The following is a 24,187-nucleotide window of genomic DNA, read 5'->3' as shown; positions in this document are numbered from 1 at the left end:
AGAGGGAGGCCTTGTTGCTTGGAGACACTCACCAGAGTCTATTGTTGGGTCATCCAACAGGAGTCCTCTCCCAGACCCTGGCACAGGCTGGATGTTAGTGACTCTTTAGTGAACCAATGAATGAATACATTTGAGTGAGGATGGCTAACCCCAGGCTCTCCAATTGGGTTAGGACTTTCTTAAGGGCATGACCAACCACTTCAATCCCTACCACGATACTTGCTTGTCAGAAATTGAGTGTTAATGAATGTTTGTTGAGTGACCAAACGACTGAATTGATGAGTGGAGATGGTTGATCTCTGAATCTCCTCTGAATTATGAGTTTCTTGAGGGCAGGGTATGAGTCTAATTAATCCTCATGTCTACAGTGCCTCCCATGTTTGCCACATGGTAAGTACTGGTGAATGTTTGTTAATGCTACAAATGAATGAATAACTGGATGGATGGATCTTATCTTTCTGGATAAGAATTACAGACTCTTGAAGCCAAAGCATCAGGTTGACCTTGGAGCCCTGGGGTTGGGATTCAGAGAGAATTCAGTTTAAGTCCCCTGTCCTCACTCTTAGGAAATGGTGCCAAGTCCATCTAGTTGTTCTACTCCCAGCCGGTGGAGCTGCCCTTTCCTCCCCTTTTCCCATCTCCCACAACCCATCTGTCAGGAGATCCTGCTGACACTTCCAGAACATGACCACATATAACAACTACTCCTCAGCCACCATCAGCTTGATCTGAATTATTGCCAGTGGGTCCCGGCTGGTTTCCCAGCTTTTAACTGTGCCCACCCACAATCTCTTCCACACAGCAGCCTGAACAGTCATTTTAAGATGTAAGGTAGGCCGGGTGCGGTGGCTCATGCCTGTAATCCCAGCACTTTGGGAGGCCGAAGCAGGCGTATCATGAGGTCAGGAGTTCAAGACCAGCCTGGCCAACATGGTGAAACCCCGTCTCTACTAAAAATACAAAAAATTAGCTGGGTGTGGTGGCACATGCCTGTAGTCCCAGCTACTTGTGAGGCTGAGGCAGCAGAATCACTTGAACCCAGGAGGCAGAGGTTGCAGTGAGCTGAGATCACACTACACTGCACTCTAGCCTGGCAACAGAGCAAGACTCCAACTCAAAAAAAAAAAAAAAAAAAGATGTAAGGTAGACCACCATGCCACTCCTCTGCTCAAAACCCTCCAGCATTTCCTACTGCACACAGAGCAAAAGCCACATTCCATGCAACACCTCCCAGGCCCAGGAGGGTCCCTGCATCCTCTTGGACCGCACTGCCTGCAGCTCTCTCTTCCCCACTCCACTGCAGCAGCACAGGTCTCGGATGTCTGGGCCCCACCTTGCCATTGCTGTGAGCTCTGAGACAAAGGCGTTTGTCACTGTCCCTGTGCTGTTTCCCCATACTACGGGCGACATAGAGGGTCCCATGTGGATGAGGGATGGGAACGTCCTTTGCAAATTTCACAGAAGCCTTGGGGCTATTCTTGGGCAATTCACTCTGGTTTTGTAAGAGATTGTACTGAGAAAGCCTTGGTTCAGGGTGTTGGCTTTCCCTGTTTGAGGTCCTTTCTCAGAGTTCATGCTCCCCTTGGGGATGTTTGTAGAATATCACTTACTTCAAAATGTATTTTTCTAGCCTTCCTGGTCTTATGTAAGTGGTTGGAATTTTGTTATTTATTGTCAAGAAAACAGAGAAGAGTGGGCATTGTCGGGAGGAACAAATCTGTTGTCCTTGGCTCTTTGGACATCTTAACATGGGGCAGGAGCTGTTGGTCCTACCTCATCACAGGCTGTGGTTCTCAGGGCCACAGAGCCTAATGAAAGGACAGCATGGAGGGTATAGATTTTCAGAGCTTGATGCATGACAAGAGAGAGCAGATTTGGAGGGATGAGAGGGCCCTGCTCAGGGGCTGGGGACTGGATTTGAAGCCAACTCGGTGCAGGATCACATGCAGTCCAGAGTATGTGCTTTAGGGTCACGCAGACCGGGGTTCAACTGCTGACTCTGTCTCTTGGCAGACTCAGCTCCCAGGTCTGTAAAAGGATCACAGTGCAGACCTCAGAGCTATAGTGAGGATTAAAGCGAATCATGCTTGGGCCAGTCCTCCAAAACCATGTTATTATGATGATCCTCCTCCTTGTCCTTACGCCTCTGAGCCTTCCTCACCTGTAAACCAGGGAAGCTGATGGAGTCAGTGACATGGAGCATGAGAATCCCAAGATGGTTCCTGGGACACGTGTGCAATGAATGCAGGAGCCACCTCTATCAAGTACTTTCACGAATGAAATGCAACTCCAGAAGGCAGGCAGGAATGATAGAGAGGCTGAGATGGCAGTGAGGGTGTGATGGTCCTGGAGTGAGCTTGCGCGTGGCTGTTCAGATGGTGGGCTTTGCTGTCATTCATTCAATGAATAAAACCACTAAAATCAATGAACACTGAGTGTCAGGAGCCGTGGGCTCTGGGGATCCCACAGAGAGTGGTCAGGCAGGGTCCTTGTCCTCATGGAGCTCACATACCAGTGGGGAGACACACAGTCTTCAATTATCCCTGCAACTGAGCATATGATTATGAAATATGGCCCAGAGGTGAAGGAGGTGGGAGGTACTGTGAGAGGGCACAGGGAGGGGATACCTGGCCAATGGGGGAAAAGGGATGTCAGGAAAAAGACCTCCCTGAGGAGGTGGAGTTTCTTTAGCTGACATTCAAGGAAAAAACCCAGGGTGGCTGGGCACGCCACGCTGGTGCTCTCAGGAAGGATGGTGGTGGATTGAGGACAGCTCCTTAATGAGCAAATACTTGGAGGCTGGCGGGGCTGGCGTTTCTCCGTTGGGACCCGTTCCCTGTGTGAAGCCTGCTCTGTGGTCTATCTCATTCCGTCCTCATCCCACAAAGGTGAGGAGACAGGGACCCAGAGAAACCCAGCGGCTGCCTAAGCTCCCAGCCAGGAAGAGGCTGAGCTGGCATCCCAGTGGGCTGTCTTGCCTTCCCCAGAACTGCCTCAGACACTGTTTTCCTTGGACACTGGCGCTGTGGAACACCACTGAGCCTCACACATTAGCAGCCTCCTTCACTATTCCAAATAGCTTTCCTTAAAACAAGCTTCTTTACCTTCTTGGGGGACATTTTGAAAATGCACTGGAAGCTTTGGTTTGTCTTTTAGGAAAAAAAAAACTCACCAAGCCAAACAATGTTGCACACAGTACCAGGATTGCCATGGACCTCTTAAGGCATGCCCATGGGTTCAATGGTAAAACCCTTGCTCTCCTGGGAAACTGGCTTTCAAGGAGTTTGACTTTGAAAAAAATTCATTTATCCATCCACCCAACCATTATTTACTGTGGGCCAACTGTGTGCCAGGCACTGTGCTTGACTCTAGGGAATAACAGTCACCCTATTCCCCAGCAGCTTATCATCTGGTGAGGGAATCAGAACAAGGTGAAATAAACAAGAAACCAAATAACCATAAATTGTATTAAGGGGAAAAAGCTTACTGTAAGATTGGAAATAGCAAGGAGGCCACATTAGACCAGGATTAGGGAAGGTCTCAGGCGACATTTGAGCAGAGCCCAGGAGGAGAGGAGGAGATGGAGCCAGGCTTGAGTATAAAAATGTGGAAGGGGAGCCAGGCAGAGGGAACCATGAGGGCAAAGGCCCTCAGGTGGGAAAGAGCTCGGCAGGTTGGAGGAAGAAAGGAAGACAGTAGTGGCTGTCTATGGGGTGAGAAGTCTGTACCCATGTGCCCAGGGAGAGGGCCTGTCTCACATCCCTGGCTGCAGGAAGAGCTGTCCAGTGGGACAAGGAGGCAGGAACCTCCCTTGGCAGAACTCCGGGCCAAGCAGGCTTATGCACACCTGTGATCTCTAACGGCCAATTGGGGTGGCCACTTCCCCTCCTTGGGGCTCTAAGGAAATTCCAGGTCCCTAGCAAAAGGCAGAGGTCCCCAAACTCCAGGGAACAGCAGAGGAGGCAGAAGCATTAAATGCAGATTCCTGAATCTGATTTAGTGGGGGCTGGGGGGAGGTGCTGGGAGCTGCCTTTGGAATGAACACCCTAGAGAGATGATGCAGGGGGTTCAGTCCATACTTTGAGAGTTACTCTTCTAAGGAATGGAATTCATTATTCATCTAGTCATTCATTCATTCCATTCTTTTATATATATATAAAAGATATATATATATACACACACATATATATGTATATGTATATATATATACACACACACACACACACATATATATGTGTTTAACATACATATGCCTAACAACTGTACAGAACTAGGGGCTGGAACCTTAATCCAAAGGCGAATTTCCTTAAAATGGCAGGGGAAGAGAGAGTGGGGACCGTTTCTGAATGGCATATTGGGTTTCACAAAGGAAGAGTTGACCTTTTCTGGGTTCTGAGGGTAGCCTGGAGAGGGCAAAGGGAAAATGGAAATGCTGGAATTTCCAGGGGAGCATCACCGAATTTTGGAGGGAGAGATGGGACTTGTAAAAATGCAGATTCTTAGGTCACCTCTGATGAATTGAGTCAGGCTCTCTGAGGGGGATCCTGGGAATAAGCTTCTGGACAATTCTGATGCACACGGTGTGTGAAGATCACTTAGCTGAAATAATAACAGTGATACCAGCTAACAGTTATTGAGTGCTGACTGAGCTCCAGGGGCAAGCTAAGTGCTTTACCTGTAATGACTTATTGAATTCTCAACACAACCCTTTGCAGTAGGCACTGTTATTATTGGCCTCCTTTTGCAGAGGCACAGAAATGTTAAGTAAAATCCCCAAATCCACCCAGCTGGGGAGGGGTGGGGCTCAGATGGGAACCAGGTAGCCTGGCCTGCAGAAGGGAGCTCAGAGGAGCTGTTGCTCATTCCCCACCAACTGCTTCATCCCACACCCCATTCTGCTGCCCAACATGATCCTCAGCCCCCATTCCCCCAGGCACAAGCATTGCAAGGAGAGGCAGGAAGAATAATAAGGGCAGATGGATGTTGAGCCCTGACTCTGGAGACACTTGTCTAAGGACACACAGCTGATAATGTGGAGCTAGGATTTGAACTTGGGCTGCCTGGCTCTGATAGGCTCTACCTTGTTTCTGGATAAATTCACTTACAGCCCTTAACCTTCCCTCGCAGGGGTCTGCAAGCTTGTTCTGTCCGGCTGCATTTCCTCTTATATACTACAGAGGCCAATAAGATTCCGTGGAACACACATGGCAAATACCAACATTTTCAGTGAGTTGAACCACCAGATAGACTGAAGACTGCAGGTCTCACCATAACCATGAACACTCTGGACCACAAGGGGGCAGGAACCAACCTGTCAAGTCCCGGGGCTTACATAGCAGGAGTGTTCTCAGGAGGAAAGGAGCAAGGCAGGTCATTAAGGATAACCAGCCAGGCACAGCCTCACCTGCCCTTAAATGTCAGCCAGTAGGAAGAGGAAACCGGCATGGGTCCTTCTTTTAAAAATGCACATTCAACCTGTTTGATCATTAATTTTATTCTTCAGCCAACTTGGCTTCTCTTCTGCTTCCTGCTGCGTTTCTCAAAGGGACCAAACTTGCTTTCTCTCTTCTTCCATTTTCTGCTTTTGGATCCCAATCCCCCTTTTAGTAATTTTCTCCAACACATGTCACCCCATATTTGCTCATTTTGCTTTACCTGATCCTAAATTCTCGTGGTTGCTGGAGATAGCTGCAGCACTAAATTTCTTCACCCGGATCCTCTGGGAATTGGGGAGCTGTCTTTGGGAGAGGGATTGTGTGACTCTGAGGGTGACATTCTCCATGCTATTGTGCAGTGTGTGGCAGCTCCCAGGAGGGAGCCTTTATCAGGGAGTTGGCAGGTTTCACTAAGCCCCTCCATGTGCCAAGCAGTGAACAGGACAGATAAAAATCCAGCCCAGTGTTCAGCCCTGAGGTTGGAACAAGCTGAGGAGGCAGCACAAGAAAGCCAGTGTGACCAGAGCAAGTGAGACAAGGGGAGAGTGGTGGGGACGGGGTCAGGAACATGCATATGGACACAAACAGTGTGCCCACAGGCCCAGTGAGGACCCAGACTTTCATTCTAAGGCAGACGTAAGTTTGAGTCCTGACTCTCTCATTCTTAGAGGTGCAGCTTGCACACATCACTGCACCTCTTTGAGCCTCAGTTTTCTCACTTATTCAAGGGAAAACAACAGTTACTTCCTAGGTTTATCATGAGAATTAAATTAGAATAATACTTTGGAGAAGGAAGCCATATTGTAAAAAAAAAAAAAAAAAAAAAGAAAGAAAAAGAAAAGAAAAAAAAAATGATGGCCGGTTGCAGTGGCTCACATCTGTAATCCCAGCATTTTGGGAGGCTGAGGCAGGTGGATCACTTGAGTCCAGGAATTTAAGACCAGCCTGGCCAACATGGTGAAATCCCATCTCTACTAAAAATACAAAGATTTGCTGGGCATGGTGGCACACGCCTGTAGTCTGAGCTACTCAGGAGGCTGAGGCAGGAGAATTTCTTGAACCCGGAAGGCGGAGGTTGCAGTGAGCCGAGATCACACCACTGCACTCCAGCCTGGATGACAGAGCAAAACTCCATCTTAAAAAATGACCAGAGGTTGAAGGTGAGGAAGGAGAGGCAGTGAATAGCAGCATATGTTTTGGGAAGTTTGGTGATACAGGGAAGAAAAATGGAGTTACCAGGGCCAGGATAAGGTTTCTCCCATAAGTCACAACTTTGTAGGCTGTTCCTGCCTGAGGGCGCTGGGAAGATGAGACCAACATTCCCACTGCACAGTGATGAGACTGTGGCCAAGAGGATGGAGCCACTCAAGGTCAAAAAATCAGTTCAGAAAACATCCCAGACAAGACAGGAAACCTTTTTAAAATTTTAATTAGCCTTTGGGAAACATCATACCAGAGTGTTCAGATGTTTATGAGATAATGGATAAATCAACCCAAGTATCCTCCCCTGCTTTTCATACTTTTGTTATCATGACCAGACCCACCATCATCTCTGGCCACGTTGCCCCCATCCACATGGCGCTGTGGAAGCTGGACAGTTTGCAGTTCAGAGCTGCTAAAAATTTATTGTGGGAAGATTACAGGGAATCAGCACATGGGTTCTGGTGAGGATTTACAGGGAAATAACCTCCATACCCGGAGAAGCAGGGGCTCTTTTGGTCCAGGGTGGGTCATGCAATTCCAGGCATCAGCTGAATAATCAACACGATCTACGCAGGTGGTGTCCTGGAGTGTGGAGGACATTCCAGGGAGGAGACTAGGATGCAGAAGCTGATTCTGTGTGAGATAATCCAGGTATTAGTAAATTTCACACCCTTTCTTCCGGTCAGAACGGACAGCCTTTCCCGCTTCTGCCCTCCCCCTCCGCACTGGCGTGACTGCTGTCCGTGGTGCTGAAATCTATTCCTGTCGGGACACCCATCCACTGCCTCTCTCTGGATAACGTTTTCTCATTGTTTCCCTGGACTTCCTCTCATCAATTAAGGTGGCTCTTCCTCGTCGCCTTGGCCTACTTCACAACACAATAATACAAAATATCACCAGGTGCCCTAGCTAATCAAAAGACATATTTCTTACTTTTAATATTGGCAACTCAGTCACATGTATAAAACACTTTATAGGCTAAACCAAACATGTCTGTGAGCTGAATATAATATGGGGGGGGGGGTGTCACAGATTTGGGACTTCTGTGCTAAGTGGCAGCCTAGATATATTGGCAGGAATACATGAGATGCCCTAGACCTTTCAACGTTTTGCAACTGCCAGCCAATTTACTTAGAGAGAGCTGCGTTGTCCAATATGGTAGCCACTAGTCACACATGGATATCAGCATTTGAAATGCAGCTAGTCCACATTGAAATGTGCTGTAAGTATAAAATACACATCAGACCAAAGACTTACTGCAAAAATAGAATGTAAAATATTTTATTACTTTTATATTGATTCCATGTTAAAATGATAATATTTTGGATATGGTGGGTAAATATAAACTAGTAAGGTTAATATAATCTGTTTCTTTTTCCTTTTAAAGATGGCCTTGCCAGAAAATTCAAAATTACTTGTGTGTCTCCTGTTATATTTCTATTGGATAACATTGGTTTAGAGTATTACGTAACTAAGCTAATTAACTCAAGGATGTGGATTCCATTATGGTGTTGGGCACTTAATTTTTTATGTCCCCTGTCATGGACTGTACCTTCTTACAGCCCAATTCATCACATGTGACCTTGTTCTCACAAAGCATGTGTACAGCATAGCTTATTACATGCTTATCCTTACTCCTCAGGGGAGGATACCTCTGTCCCCCATGACTCCTATGGGCAGTCACCCAGAGCTTCTCCCCATTGCCCAGAGCTTCTCCCCATTGCCCAAAGCATCAGACCCTTTCCTGCTTCTGTGTACTTGCACATGCTGTATCCTCTGCTTATAATGTCTTTTCCCACAAAGTGAGTCTTTATCATTTTTCAATACCCAGTTTAAATCTTGCCTTTTCTGCAAAGTCTCCTGGAAGTCCCCTGGCTACTGGGTCTTGCCTCTCTACTTCCATAGAACCTTAACTGAGCACCTCAATGCACATGAAATTGCCGATTTATTTGTTTTATCTCTCGCTAGGCTGGGAGCTCTTGAGGTCAGGGGCCAAGTGTGATTCATTTTTGTAATCCTGGAACTTGGGATAAAACAGGGAATAGATAAAGTCCCTGACTTCATGAGGTCTACATTCTTTTAAGAGGTGGAGAGAAAAGATACATATAATATAGTAGGAAGTCAAATAATAATGAGTGGTATGAAGAAAAGTAAAGCAGGGAAGAGAGTGGTGGATGTGCCATTTTTGAGAGACTTGAGATGGTGACACCTGAGCAGAGTGTATTCAGCACTGAAGAGTTGCAAATACATACATGATAAATGAATGAATAATGATATCTCCTTTTATAGAAACTCCCTTCCTTTTCTCTGCCAAATATCACTCTTGTAAAGATGTCTCCTACAACTGAGCTCCCTACACACTCCAGCCCACGACGGCCTCCTTTCTTTACTTCAAAAAGGCAAGTTCATTCATTTCTGCCTCAGGGACTTTGCACATGTTCATCCTCTTGCTTGTGATACTTTTCTCCTGGGTCTTGGCACAACTCCTTCTGCCTTATCATTCAGGGCTCAGCTGAATTGTCCCTTTGTTCCCCAAAGAGCCTCTGTCTGACTGTATTAATTTGATGTCTCTCTCTCTGCCCCCACCCCAGTTACTTTTGCCCACATCCTCCTACTTTGTTTTCTTCTGAATACCCACCATCCTCTGGAATTTAGTTGACTATATATTTATTTCCTTATTCACTGTTAGTATTCCCAACTAGAATACAAGCTCCAGGAAATCAGATTCCTTGTCCATCTTGTTCACTGCTGTATTCCTAACATGTGGAATAGAGTCTAGCATATAGTAGGGGCTTAACTAAAATTTAACAAATGAATGAATAACACACTTATAATGACCCTAAAGGCCAAAGGTCATCACTAAGCAATGGAAACATGCTCTGGTTTCTCACCGGATTGATACACACATAGCTTCTTCACTTTGGGGACATTTAGATGGTGACTTGGTACTTTTCCTGCAGCAGGACCAGATCTAGAATGCAAAAGAGATACTCAGACTGTGGGGGTGGTGGAGGATCAGAGAGGCCAGGGAAGTTTCCCCCTTGGAGCAGCACTGGGAGCAGAATGGGGATGAGAAATGAGCCCAAGGTGTGGAGACAGAAGGCTGAGGCTGGAAGCTCTTATTTGTCACTGGCTGTCTTGTATGATTTAACTGACAGTTCTTTATCCATGCAGTACAGTGACTACCAGTGTGGGCTCTGTAGCTGGAGGATGCGGGTTCACTCTGGCTCTGACATTTTCTTCCATGGAAATATGGGCAAACATTTTGATCTTCCTTTGTTTCTGTTTCCTCATCTTTAAAATGAAGATAGTGATAATACCTAGTTCACGGAGTTGTATGGACAGATCAAATTAACATATATAAAGTCTGCAAAGAGCCTGGCACATAGTAAAGCACTTAATATGCATTTAGCTTTTATTGTTATTATTTTTTACTAAGTAATCCTGGATAAATTGCTTAAAGTTCTTGGATCTTGGTTTCCTTATCTACAGATTGGGAACAACCACTTCTTCCCAAGCTAATCACTTAAGAGCTCCTACATTGGAATGAGACAGTGGAGAAAGGTGCCATTGCTGCAGCCGGAGTCTCCATTCACCTGGCCATCTCTCTGAAGTGATGGCCCATAGTAGAGCGAAGGTGTTGGTTGAGCTGTCCCATTCATTTGAGTGGGCCCGGGAACACAAGCTTTGGGAGTTTTTAGGCTCATCCAGATTAGTTGCCTCAAGCTTCCTACCTCATAAGTAGTGAGTACTGGCCGGGCTCACTGGTGGTGGTTCACACCTGTAATCCCAGCACTTTAGGAGGCTGAGGCGGGTGGATCACTTGAAGTTAGGAGTTCAAGACCAGCCTGGCTAACACAATGAAACCCCATCTCTACTAAAAATACAAAAATTAGCCAGGGATGGTGATGCCTGCCTGTAATCCCAGCTACTTGGGAGGCTGAGGCAGGAGAATCGCTTGAACTCTGGAGGCAGAGGTTGCAGGGAGCCGAGATCGCACCACTGCACTCCAGTCTGGGCAATAGAGTGAGATTCCATCTCAAAAAAAAAAAAAAAAAAAAGTAGTGACTTCCCAGTCAATGGAATAGGCAGAAGTCAGAAAATTGCTTGCTGGGAGAGCCACTCGAGGAATTTTAGAAACTCTGGCATCTGGCACTTGGCAGGACGAGTGAATATTCAGTGAATGAAGGCATATACCTTTCAATTCAGCATTTTTTTTTTTTTTTTTTTTGGTGGTGGAAGTTTGAAGTCCTGCTGGGGGCCTGAGCTGCTGAGATTCAATCTTGCATTTTTTGCTTTGAGTTCTGGCAGATATGAAAACTTTGGATGCTTGAGGTAGCGACTACTGAAAGGAGGCAGTGTTTGTCTGGGCTGAAAACAGACCAATTTTCTGCCCATCATTTAACTCATACAAATTTAGGGGAGGACAAAGGCAGAATTGGGCAGATTTTCTCCCCTGGAGAAGTTTCCATTCATATCTCAGCTGCTCTAGGCTTTGGGAGCAAGAATAGAATTGAAACCAGCACGTCCTTAGCTAAAGGTGCACGTTCAATTGCTAGTGCAGGCACAGTGCTTCATGTTGGCACACTGGGCTCCCTCAGTTAATGTCAGCTGAGTTTATTATTAAGGTTGTTATTATTAGGGACCATTCTACTTCAGCAGGAAAGAGATTTTTGGTCTAGGAGAAGTGCCAGAGTGAGGTAAGGGGAAATGAAATACAAAGGGTGAGGGAGGGTTCTGAGCTTTCTTCTGGAGTGTTCCTGTCCCTTCCCACCTCCAGCACTTACTAATCAACTCTTTAACCACATGCTGGTCCAGGTTGTAGAGCCATTTATTAATCACAGGGCACACCTGAAAGACAAGGAAATAGGCAAAAGTCAAGAGGAGGGCTCCACTAATAAAGTCTAAATGGGAGTGAGCAAGGCAAGTTCTCCCAAGCCAACCCATTCTGGGGACAACCAAGTAGATGGGTTTTGGGGGCAGACTGCCCTAGGGTCATAAGCCAGCTCGGCCACTTGGTAGCTCTATGACTTGAGTAAGTCATTGGCCTTCTCTGGAACTTAAATCTGGAAAATGAAGATGATATTGTTACCTGGAGTATGAGATTGTTTGGAGGATGAGATAAGAAAATTCATTTCAGATACTTAGCACAGTGTTTGCGTGCTTAGTGAATGTTAATTTTGTGATTACTTATCTCCATCTTACAGATAAGGAAACTGAGTTTTGGGGAGATTTATCTACTTACTTCTGGTCATATGGATGCTGACTTTGACCTAAATAATTAAATAATGTCTGTAAAATACTTCACCAGTGCCTGATTGCAGAATGGAAACTTAACAGATGCCACTCCATCTCTCTCTAACTTTCCTTCCTGGAAGATTTCTTCCCACTTCATTAAGAAGATCCAAACTCCCCCATGCTTTGAGTCTCAGCTCAAAAATGGAAGTAATCTGGGTTTGCATACTTACTTTTCGTCCCAGATCATGGGCTACTATGTTTTTCAGGTTTCTCTCTATGTTTGCCACAACAAATTTTGCGCTGGGGCGAGTCTAAATGAAGAGGCAGAAAATATGCAGAACAGATTAACTTCTCTCAGACTCTCCTTTATCCCTATCACTTCTTTGCTCAATGCCCGTGAACTTCTTCAAGTCTACTCCTTGTTTCCATGGCATTCCATCACCCAGCTGTGTCCTACCGCTCCAATCCACACTCTAGGGTTCTTTAAAATTAATCTTCCAATTTAAATCACCTTGCCCTTATCATTGTTACTCACCATTATGTTTTCTGTGACTATTTTGCATCTCCCTCTGGAGATGCCTTCTTCAAATTCTATCACTTTGCTAGGCCCGGCCAACTGGTTTCCTCCAGAAAGCTCTTCTTGACCATCCTAGCCAATTCTCAGTTCTCTCCTTCCTTCTCACTTTCCCATTTCTCTGATTACCTGATGCTACAGTAGAACTTATCTCCTCTGCCAGAGGGCCAATGCTTTCATGGAAGGAACAGTGTAACATCGTTCTTTAATTGGGAGAAAGGAGAAAGAAGCAGGAAATAGCATAAAGGTGTCCTTGTGTTCTGTGTTCCTGACTCAGTCCCTAATCCTTAACATGTGAGGGTAAATCTGTTTTATTCTCAGGCAAAGGGTTTATGTCTTTATTTCTTAAAGAGTTTGCATAGAAATCAGCTACGATCTACTGCTTCCAACCTGAGGTCTCAAATTCCTTGCAAAAGAGGGACATTTTCTTTAGTATATCATGGGAGAGAGAGGTATTTGCAGAGTTTTCAGAAGGGGAGATGGGCTGTGAATCTGGTCTGGTTCTCACTTATGTTTGAGCATGTCAGGAGGACAGGACCAGGTGTGCAAGGGTGCAGAAAGCATTCCACACCCAGATCTTTCCTGAAAGAGTGAGCAACTGAGATGAATCAAAATAAGAAGAAGACAGGATAGAAAATGGACTGGTGATGACCACTGGATTCAGCTAAATGTGGATATCAGCCTTAATTAAAAAAAAATTTTTTAAAAGGGCTAGGTGTGGTGGCTCATGCCTGTAATCCCAGCACTTTAAGAGACTGAGGCAGGTAGATCAGTTGGGTGCAGGAGTTTGAGACCAGCCTGGGAGACATGGTGAAACTCTGTCTCTACAAAAAACACAAAAATTAGCCAGGCATGGTGGCCTGTGCTTGTAATCTCAGGTATTCAGGAGGCCTAGATGGGAGCATTGCCTGAGTTGGGGAGGTGGAGCTTGCAGTGAGCCGAGATTGCACGACCATTGCACTTCAGCTTGGGCAACTGAGTGAAATCTCGTTTCAAAAAAAATATTTACAAAGAAGATTTTTAAAAAGAAATTATAAATTTAGAAGTAAACACTAAAACTCTAATTAATAAAAGGGCAAAACCTCTGAAGACAGTTTCTCTGAAGAGGAAATATCAGAGACTAAGAAATGATGAAATTCTTTTCTACTGGTAGACAAGGTAATGAAAACAATAGCATTCGTGGGATTTTCCTCCTAGTGAAAAGAAGATCTTGTCTTAACATACCTCAGAATAATCATATTCAGCACTTTTCCCAGCACCAAGCAGGCTGAAATAAATGAATGAGTAAGACTGAGAGCCATCTATAGAGATACTTGGGGAAGGTATGTATGTATAAAAGAATAAATGTTGTGAAAAAGAGAATAATTGGGATTGATTGTATATGGGACAAAACTGCCGAATGTCGGCTACAGACATGCCACTTGCTTCAGTTCCATTGGTAAGGCATTTGTTGAGTGGTTTGGCAGTGCCTTAAAACTTAGAAGTTGTAGAACTGTGTATACGTTTGGAATAATCTTAAAAATCTACAATAAGAACGTAATTTTATTTTGGAAAAGTTTCCTGTATCAAAATGTTCTGGGTTATTTATGTTAGCAAATGTTTATCTTTTGAATTAATTTAATTTTTTTGAGACAGGGTCTTGCTTGTTGCCCCGGCTGGAGTGCAGTGGCATGCTTATGGCTCACCGCAGCCTCAACCTCTTGGGCTCAAGTGATCCTCCTACCTCAGCCTCCCTAGTAGCTGAGACTATAGGTGCCTGCCACAACACCTGGCTAATTTTTGTATTTTTTGTATAGACAGGGTTTTGCCATGTTGCCCAGGCTGGTCTTGAACTCCTGGGCTCAAGCTATCCACCTGCCTCGACCTCCCAAAGTACTGAGATTACAGATGAGCCACCTGGTTAGCCCAAAAGTTTAGAAATAATCTATCAACAAATGGCCAAGCAATCCTTCTTTTTTTTTTTTTTTTTGCTTAGTACTATTTGGTAAGTCTCTTTTCATGTCGATAGAATTATTACTTTTGTAAAAAGCAAAATTTTAAAGACACAGAAAGTCCTATTTATTATACACACATCACTATACACACAAAAGCCTAATTTGGTAGGGTATTGTTTTTCTGGTGACATCTTTCAGGTGAAATCTCACTGGGGACGTCATCATAACCAGCTGGACACAGAGAAAGACAGATTGAGAACTCACTGGACTCCAGTTTGGATCCAAATAGCCTCGGGCAAGAGCCTGCAGTTCCCAAAGGCAAGCTCATATCTGCCACCTACATTCTTCTCCAAACGAATCTGGACTTTTATATCTGACTGCATATTAGCTGTGAAGGGCTTCATGGTCAGGAGCCTGTAGGAGGGAAGAGGTAAGGCAGGTCGGGGAGAAGCTCAGAGCTTACTACATCCTCATTTGTTTCTAGAACTAGGGTTCTTCAAAACCACCCTGTTAAGGTCATTTTCTCATTTTTCAAAAGAGGCCATTCAGTCCTGGAGAATGGGAATGGCTTTCTCCAAGTCATGCATCCAGCCAGTGGCTAAGTCAGAGGGTTCTGCACTCAGGGAGTCTAACTAATACTTGCTACCTCTGGCTCTGGGGACAGTTAGGAAGGAAAATGTTGATTCTAAGTATGACATCTTATCAAAACTGAGAAACTGCATCTGACCTTGGAAAGTCCTTTTCTAGAGTCTCAAACTCCATTGCCTTGATGGCCAGGCTTGAAATGGAAATGAATGAAGCAGATGGGCAATTAGTTTCACAGGGAGCGGTAAAGGCTGTGGTGAACTGGAGAATGCGTGGCCTCTGCAGATGCACCATGCAAACCAGACAAAATATATCAGTGGGTCAGATGCAGCCCCTGGGGTGATCTCTAGGCAATAGTGCCACGGAATTGGGGTCCAGAGGTGATTCTTTGCTCTTGTCTTCAGTTACATTCAATCAGAACTAAGAGAACTCATAAAGTCCAAATAAATGAAGGTGGGGGCTGTCTGGATGAGGTCGGGCGAGGAAATCTGCTTTCCCCAGAGAGGCCCCAAGCTTGGAGCACTCAAGTGTTCTGCAGGCCTCTCATTCTACACATGGGGCGACTCAGGCCCAGAGAGGGTGGATGTTTTGCTCTAACCACACAGTGAGTCCGTCGCTGAGCCCTTTGGTTAGGGATCTGCCCACATCCCCCGACTCCTATGCAAAAGCCAATGGAGACTGCAAGACCCATAGCTGTGACTTACTGCACAATCAACTCAGACGTGAATGGTACTTGTACAGTGGCCTCCTTTCTTTGAGGGGTGCTCTCGATGGAGACATGGAGGAGTTGAGGATTTTTCACCTGTATGCTGGGTGAAGAAACAACACAACACAGGGAGGCTGTGGCTCCTGCTGCAGGTGGACCTCACTTTGTGCAATGGCAGGTCCCTTGCAGAGAAGAAGCTGAATATATGCAAAGATCAGTACTCATTCATTAACCAGGTAGTTTATTGCAAAGTTACTATGTGTTATAAGCACGGGGAATATATCCCTGAGCAAAAAGAAGCTCTTACCTTGCTGTATCTCAGAATAATCACGTTCAGCACTTTGCCCAGCACCAAGCAGGCTGAAATCAACGAGTGAATAAAACTGAAAGCCATATATAGCAGATGCTTGGAGCAGGTATATATGTATAGGAGAATAAATCCAGTAAATAAATACATATAGAAAGTGATAGGCACCGTGAAAAAAAAGGCCCTACAGGATCAGGAAGATGGAAGGTAATATTGGGAAGAGTGGAATTTCAGACAGGGTAGTCAGGGAAGGTTTATCATAGGAGGTGATGTTTGGGCAGAGTCACGAATGAAGTGAGAATGAGTCATGCAGATAGCCAGGAGAAGGAAAGGACAGGTTTAAGACAGAGCAAGGCTGGGTGCAGTGGCTCACACCTGTAATCCCAGCACTTTGGGAGGCCAAGGCAGGAGGATCAATTAAGCCTAGAAGTCAAGGCTGCAGTGAGCCGTGATTGTGCCACTGCACTCCAGCCTGGGTGACAGAGCAAGACCTTGTCTCGAAAACAAAACAAAGCAAAACAAAAAATCAAGCAACCAAACAAAAAATTAGCTGGGCATGGTGGCATGTGTCTGTGGTTCCAGCTACTTGGGAGGCTGAGGCAGGAGGATGGCTTGAGCCCAGGAGGTTGAGGCTGCAGTGAGCTGTGGTCACACCACTCACTGAACTCCAGCCCGGGAGATGGAGCAAGACCCCATCTCAAAACAATAATAATAGTAAAAATAAAGAAGACAGAGCAAGTGCAAAATCCCTGAGGCTGAAATGTGGCTGGTGTGTTTGAGGAACAGCAACAGGCTTCATGTGGCTAGCAGGCAGAGAGTGATGCGAGACTAGTAGAAGAGGTGAGCGAGGTAGCCAGGGCCAGATTGTGTGGAGCCTTGAGGGCCAGTGGTAAGAACTTTGGGCTTGGTTCTGAGGGCGAAGAGAACACATCGGAGGGTTTGGACAAGGGAGTTACAGGGTCAGCTCCACTTCTTAGAAAGATTTTTCTGGATACTGGCAGAACAGAATGGAGGAGATGAGGGCTGGTGGGTGGAAGCAGAATAATCTGGGGCTGTAAGTCAAGCGGGGAGATAATGGTGGCTCAGACCACCAGAGGTGGAAAAAAAAAGTGGTGAGATGCCTGGGTATGATTTAAAGGCAGAAGTGACAGGGAGGGTTTGGCAACAGGCTGGAAGCAGGTACAAAGGAGACAGAGGAGCCAGGGAGGACATCATGATTTTTGGCCAGAGCAACTGGATGGATGGAGTTGTCATTAGGTAAGATGGGCTGGGCAGGGGGAGGCACAGGTTGTGGCAGGGATGAAGGTATGAGTCAGCAGTTGAGTTTTGGACATGTTGAGTTTAAGATGCTTGTGAGGCAAGGGACCCAGGTCTTCTATATTCTGATGGCCAGTCTAACCCTAAAGCTCAGCATCATCTAGTGTTAGGATTACCACATTCTTCCTGTTGTTGTTTATTACCTGTGATTGGATGCTCACTGAGGAGAGGAGGATGTGCAAACATTTTACACATATTATTTCACTTAATGTTCACAACAGCCCTATGGGGTTAGAAGCTATTATTCCCCATTGAACAGGGCAGATGTTGAGGCTTAGAGAAAGGGGGAGATGGGTGATGCTGTTACAGCTGGTGAGCAGCCATCCTCTTCCCAGACAAGGGGACTGAACCCCTGTGTCTTTAGCCTCTCCCCTAGCCTCCCGCGGTGGGAGTTTCTCCCAACCAGGGGATCTCAGGCCATCAGAGTTGGAAAGGCTCTTTGCAAGGGAAGGGCCTCTGTGAGGTCAGGAAATGTGGGGAGAGCTCTAACAATCCAACAAACCAGGACAGCCTGGACTGGGGGTGGTTGGTGATCAGAGACCACTCACCTAACAGTGTTGATCTCATTGGTGAGTGGAGGTCCAAAGATGTCCAGGAGGCCTGATACACCATCGAAGGCACTACTCAATGGTTTCTGGAGGCCAGTTGTCTGCAGGCTGGGAAGAAAGTCTGCCCTGAGGAGTCCTTGAGTCAAATCTGTAAAGAATGCCCCACTCCCAAACCCAAGTAGACATTTAGATGCCAAAGATCCTCAGATACAACCTTGACCTCCGAGCATGTCCCCTATGTGGCTCTGACTTGTTGTTCAGCTATTTCTGGCTTGCTGGACTGTGGGCCAAGTTCTAGACATAATCATCCAGCAAATATTCACAGGGGCCTACTATGCACCCAGGCCATGCACCCAGTCTGTTCACCACCCTGGGCACCACCCTGATGGAGCTGGCATTCTTACAGGACTGAGGAGAGACAGACGAAAAAGTGGAGAATAAAGGGACAGGCAGGATTCCGGTGCAAACAAGTGCTGTGAAGGGGTTGGTTTCAAAGTATTTAGCAATGAGCTCAACAGGGGCACTGGTCATAGCTCTGGATCCAGGTCCTGGGCTCCCCGGGCTGTGCCAGGTGTTAACTCCATAGTTGTTTCGTTCATGGGGAAGCTAGAGTTCTGGGGGTGAAGCTGGGATGGTTGGGGCAATGGCGGGCACCTGGAGAGTCTCTAAGCAGGAAATACTTCACAAATAGTATACCCCAAAATTTCAATGTTTTAACCACGATGACCATGCCGCTAGATATCAGTCCATCCTATGATGAAAAAACAAAAGGCAGGGTGAGGGATTCATTTACGCAGGAGGTCAAGGAAGGGCTTTCTGCAAATGTGGCATTTGAGCAGAGACCTGAAGGAAGGGAGGCAGCTAGGTTGACAGGTAGGGGAAGAGTGTCCCAGGCAGAGGAAACAGCAGGTACAAAGGCTGCGACAGGGACCAGTCCATATAGAGCTGGTTCCTTTGATGGTGGGTCTTGATAGATAAAGCACAGCAAGGAGACAGGAAAGAGGGGGTGCTCGGAAAATGAGGATTAAACGATGTTGCAGTCAGGACGGCTAATAATTAATAGTGTTCATTGTGTCCCAGGTACTTTGCTAATGAGAACTTAACTGGCATTGGCTCAGGGTTCTGCATGACCCAAAGCAGGACAGTCTCACCATTAAGGAGCTGGGAAGAAACTCCAGCCAGGACCTCCTGTGCAGAGGATGAGACAAGCAGCCCACAGAGGAGAACAAAGAGGCCGGAGACATTCAGCATCTTCGGTCAGGTCCCTGTGGAGGATCAGGGCAAAGAGGTCATTTGCAAGGACACTTTCTCAGAGGGTCTTCCCAGAGCTCAGATCTGAAGTGGCCACAGAACTCATATGGACCCATTCACCTATGTCCATTTTACAGATGGGTCTACTGAGGCTCAGGGAGGGACCTGCTTTTCCTCATAGTTTAGAGCAAGAAAGGGAGGGTCCAAGAGATGAAGTCACTTGCCCAAGGCCACACAACCTGTATTTATGCCCAAAAGCTGGACATACGGTTTTTCCCGCAGGGACACTGCCTTCCCCAGCAGGGCTGCTCATGGCTGCTGCGAGAGGCTGCATAATGTTAGAGTTATGACAATGGTCTCTGAAGACCCCCACCTGTTAGCAGCTGTGGGATTGTGGGATTTAGTGCAAGTTGCTTCACCACACGATGTTATGCAGGACACACTATCCTCATTTTACAGCAAAATGGTGGTGGTGATATGCCCTGGCTTCAGAGACAGACAGACCTGGGATGGAATCCCAGCTCTGCCACCTACTTGCTGGATACCTTAGGCTTTCCTCATCTGGAAGATGCAGAGGATCCAAACTCATACCTTCCTCTTGCTCTTGTCGTAAGCACTTAGCACAGTACCTTGCACATTGTAAGTGCTTCACAAATGGTCACCACTGTACTAATGCATCATTATGATCATGATTTTCACTTGACATTTTCAAGGGCTTACCTCCCTGAGCTGATGGGAGAGAGTAGGCTCCACAGCACAGACAAGAAGGGCCCAGGCTGAGGGACCAGGGCTGGAGTATGTGGACACTGTAGGACCATTTACTGTGCCCGCTTGAATGGCACACTCCCTGGGCTAGGAGTGGCCCTCGGGATCTTGACACACCCTCCACACCTCCTGGAAAGGAGGTGCATGAAGATGTTCGTGTGGCTTCCTGGGACTTCAACCAAATGCCAGTGCAAATGGTCCCATTAGGACCTGAGACTAACAGGTAAAGGCTGGTAGGGACCGATTCTCTCCTTCGACACTTGACAGATTCCAAGCAGACTCTCAGCCCAGTCCCTGGTCACTATTCTCATGTAAATTCATAACCCATTTGGTTTAGCATTTTATTTTATTTTATTTATTTATTTATTTATTTTGAGACAGAGTTTCACTCTGTTTCCCAGGCTGGAGTGCGGTGTGGTGTGATCTCGGCTCACTGCAACCTCCGCCTCTTGGTATCAAGCAATTCTCCTGCCTCGCCTCCCAAGTAGCTGGGATCACAGGCATCCACCACCACGCTCAGCTAATTTTTTCATATTTTTGGTAGAGACGGGGTTTCACCATGTTGGCCAGGCTGGTTTCGAACTCCTGACCTCAGGTGATCCATCCGACTTGGCCTCCCAAAGTGCTAGGATTACAGGCGTGAGCCACCGCAACTGGCCTGGCTTAACATTTTAATTTGGGTGATCTGTTTTTAGGCAAGTAGAAAAATTAGAAAGTGAAGATATGCACAAAGAGAAAAAAGTAAATAAAAATCAGTTCACAGAGATAACTTCTGTTGTATCTTTTTTTGGAAGTTTTTCTTTCCATAGGCGTGCATTCATGTAACATGATGAGAAACAAGGATTGGCCTGTCATGCTTCTACAGAAGCATTTATTCAAGTAGCAGTACATCAGGACTGTCTACCTCCTTGTCTGCAGAATTTTCTAAGGTATGTATTGACTGATGTTCATGGAATGTCTCCTCTTTTGGGCTATTTTCATGTTTTTACCCCAGATGGCACCGGCAGGAATATCCTTAGGTGTTTTTCTGCATTTACCTGCCACATTATAACCCACGAAGCATTTTCTAGGAATAACCAACCCTGAAGTTCTTTTTGTTTGTTTGTGTGTGTGTTTTATTTGTTTGTTTGTTTTGTGTGTTTGTTTGTTTGTGTGTTTATGTGTGTGTGTGTGGTGTCTTGTTTTGTTTTGTTTTTGAGATGGAGTTTCGCTCTGTCACCAAGGCTGGAGTGCAGTGGCGCAATCTCAGCTCACTGCAACCTCTGCGCAAGCCACCACACCCGACTAATTTTTTTTTTTTAATTTTAGTAGAGACGGGGTTTCACCGTGTTGCCCAGGCTGGTCGTGAACTCCTAAGCTCAGGTAATCTGCCCGCGTCAGCCTCCCAAAGTACTGGGATTACAGGCGTGAGCCACCGCGCCCAGCCTGTTTTTATAAGTATCGAAGCATTCTCTGTGTTCATCCTTCTCACCCTATCCCTGAACCCCAAATGAGGGGTTGCACAGTCCCTATGAAATCTAAGTTCAAGTTCCATCTGCAGAGTTCTGGTTTTGATCATGACAGAGTATCTTGCATCAGACTAACACTCCCAATTAAAGTCAACTATAAGAGATGGAAATCTGTAAAAACAAAGGAGGACATCCATGAGCAACTACATGGGCACAATTTGAAACCCCGTGATTCTTGAGAAAGAGGCATCATTCAAGGCGGGCTCCATATTCACCCAGCTTTTGCCTGAGGTCATTTTCCAACATGTCAACCAGGGTCCAAGCAAAAAGAGCTAGTCTTACAGGGATGAGGGGACAGAAGTTGGAATTTGGGGCTACCAGAGTGGCTGGGACTTGAGGGGCAAAAATCCCAAAGAGGAAGTTCCCCAGGGAAGGAGCCTTGAAATCTCAGCTTTTTAAGCTGCACCCTAGCAGTGTGGGACTCTCAGCCATGTGGCAGAAAATAGCAGGTGAAAGTTAAAAAGCTGAACAGAGACATCAGCACATCCACTGTGTGATGCTGGGGAAGGAAGCGCTAGTTTGAGGTGGGGCCCCTTTGATGGGAGGAACCTTGGTACACATCTTAAGCTCTCAGTGAAGACATAAAGCACTGTGCTCTAGGAGAAAGGGCCACACCCTAGAAATAGTCTCCCTCTAAAAGTAAGAACAAGACCAAAATAGTTCTACTTAATAAAACACAAAGCTAAGCCTAGGCAGGGTCATGATCCATTTCTGCTCTATCTTTCTGCCATCTTCGTTTCTGGAAAAAAGATAATGTCATTTCACCACCATGTTCAGCATCCAATAAAAATTTACAAGGCATGCATGCTTAAAAAATGACCAAGGGACTAAAGGCCAAGAAATTAAAATATATGATATAATAAACCCACAGGCAAGTCAAATATTCAAATATTGAGCAGACAACAGGGCAAGAAACCAACAGAGGATAAGGAGGCCCGAGACCTTCAGCATCTTGGGGCAGTACCCGTGGGATACCAGGTAAGTACAGTCAGCTTCAGGGTCACTCTGAGAGGTTCTCTATGGAGCTAAAGGAGATAGGGGGGAAGCAAAGGAGTCATTTGGACTCATTCTTACCCACCCAACACCCATTTTTTTTTTTTGAGATGGAGTCTTGCTCTGTCACCCAGGCTGGAGTCAGTGGCACGATCTCGGTTCACTGCAACCTCTGCCTCCTGGGTTCAAGCGATTCTCCTGCCTCAACCTCCCGAGTAGCTGGGACTACAGGTGTGCTCCATCATGCCCAGCTACTTTTTGTGTTTTTAGTAGAGACAGGTTTCACCATATTGGCCAGGCTGATCTCAAACTCCTGACCTCGTGATCCTCCCACCTCCGCCTCCCAAAGTGCTGGGATTACAGGCATAAGCCACCGCACCTGGCCCAATACCCATTTTACAGATGGCACACTGAGGCTCGGATCAGGGTTAAGTTTTCCTAAGGCCAGCTGTAGTTAGTGGCTAGCACCTGGCTCTCCCGTCTTTTAGTTTTTTATACTTTAATCTGCATCTCACTCAAAAAGGTTACTAGGAGAATTCAGGAAGCATTTTGAAAATTGTTTAGCCTAGTGCCACTAAATAGAAGTTAATTTTGGATTTGCAATTAAAGTTCCTTTTTATCCCTCCCTGGTTCTGACAGTGAGTACCCTTGGAAGACTCACAGACAGTCTGAAGGAGGGGAGGGTGGCCAGGGAGCATCTTTCCTGCTGGGTGTTGGAGGAGTCCCCCAATTCCTTACAACATCCCAATCTTATGAGACAGTTATTGACATGCTTCCTTTACAGAGCAGGAAACGGAAGCTTGGAGAGCCGAGGGCACATGCCCATTCTTCCCTCTTTATTTACAGAATCCTTTTATTTTTGAGGGAAGAAATGTGCTTAACAAAGAAATTATCTTTCCCAACCTTCTTTGCAACCAGGCATGATCAATGAGATATAAATGGAAATTGTAGGTCGGGGCTTCTTAAAAACTTCTCTAGAGTGGCTGACCCAGCTGCAAATTGCATGCTTTTGTTTTCCTCTCCTGCTTTTTCCTGATTACATATAAGATATGACGACTGGAGCCCAGCAGTTATCTTACTAGCAGGAAGATGAAAGCCACATCCTAGGGGTAGCCAAGGAAGGAGATGGCAGGCTCTGCCAGCCTAACTCTGGGCTTCTCATCATGATTGAAGCCACGATTTTTCATGTTCTGTGCTAGAACCAAACACAATTGGTAATAACTGGTAACATGTATCAAAAGCTTTAGTCTGGTTCAGCATCTGATGAAGAGGCAGGTTGGAGAGTGCCATTGCCTTGTGCTTACCTGGATTTCTCTGGTGTGCTGTCAAGACACTCTGGCCTCTGTAGGTTGATTCCCGATGACTTTGTAGGGGGGCAGACTGTATAAATGGCAAGTGATCCCATTGCTGGGGGAGACGTGGCACTGGGTGATGGACAGCTAGGAAGCTGATGGAAAGCCCTTGATTTTACCACGTCTATCCAATACCTCCAAAGCAAACATTCCTGCTTGGAAGGCCCGGGGGAATGTCAACAACATATTTGAATCTGTACATCATGAATGCCATCAAATGGAGAGGTGCAGAGAGTGTGGAGAGCACCGAGAGGGGCTGCAAGTGGGAAGATGGTGTGCAGGAGTCACATTCACATCCCTGCTCCACTCTGAGATGCTTTTCTCATCTGTACAATAAGCGAGATGGGCCTGGTGACTCCGAGGAAGGAAGCCACTCGGTCTTCTGTGAGTGGGGAGGCAGAGGGTGTCCTAGCTTCAGTTTACTGGTTTGTGGTCCCAGACCCTTGAATTCTAGCATGGCGCTGCCCATTT

At 46.1% G+C, this 24,187-nt stretch overlaps 1 pseudogene across 1 annotated transcript; it reads right to left on the bottom strand.

Moving 5' to 3' along the window:
- Window positions 1-6,847: 6,847 nt before the first annotated feature.
- Window positions 6,848-23,705, bottom strand: BPIFA4P (BPI fold containing family A member 4, pseudogene; annotated as a pseudogene). The gene is made up of 9 exons (NR_026760.1): window positions 23,669-23,705; window positions 18,999-19,112; window positions 17,848-17,995; window positions 15,674-15,778; window positions 14,649-14,798; window positions 12,107-12,187; window positions 11,426-11,489; window positions 9,530-9,609; window positions 6,848-7,271 (listed from the first exon to the last, which is right to left on the bottom strand). The product of NR_026760.1 is annotated as a BPI fold containing family A member 4, pseudogene (transcript).
- Window positions 23,706-24,187: the final 482 nt, after the last annotated feature.

This window comes from Homo sapiens, chromosome 20 (genome assembly GCF_000001405.40).
Source record: "Homo sapiens chromosome 20, GRCh38.p14 Primary Assembly".
NCBI classification, from domain to species: domain Eukaryota; kingdom Metazoa; phylum Chordata; class Mammalia; order Primates; family Hominidae; genus Homo; species Homo sapiens.
This window is presented reverse-complemented; position numbering and strand designations above follow the sequence as displayed.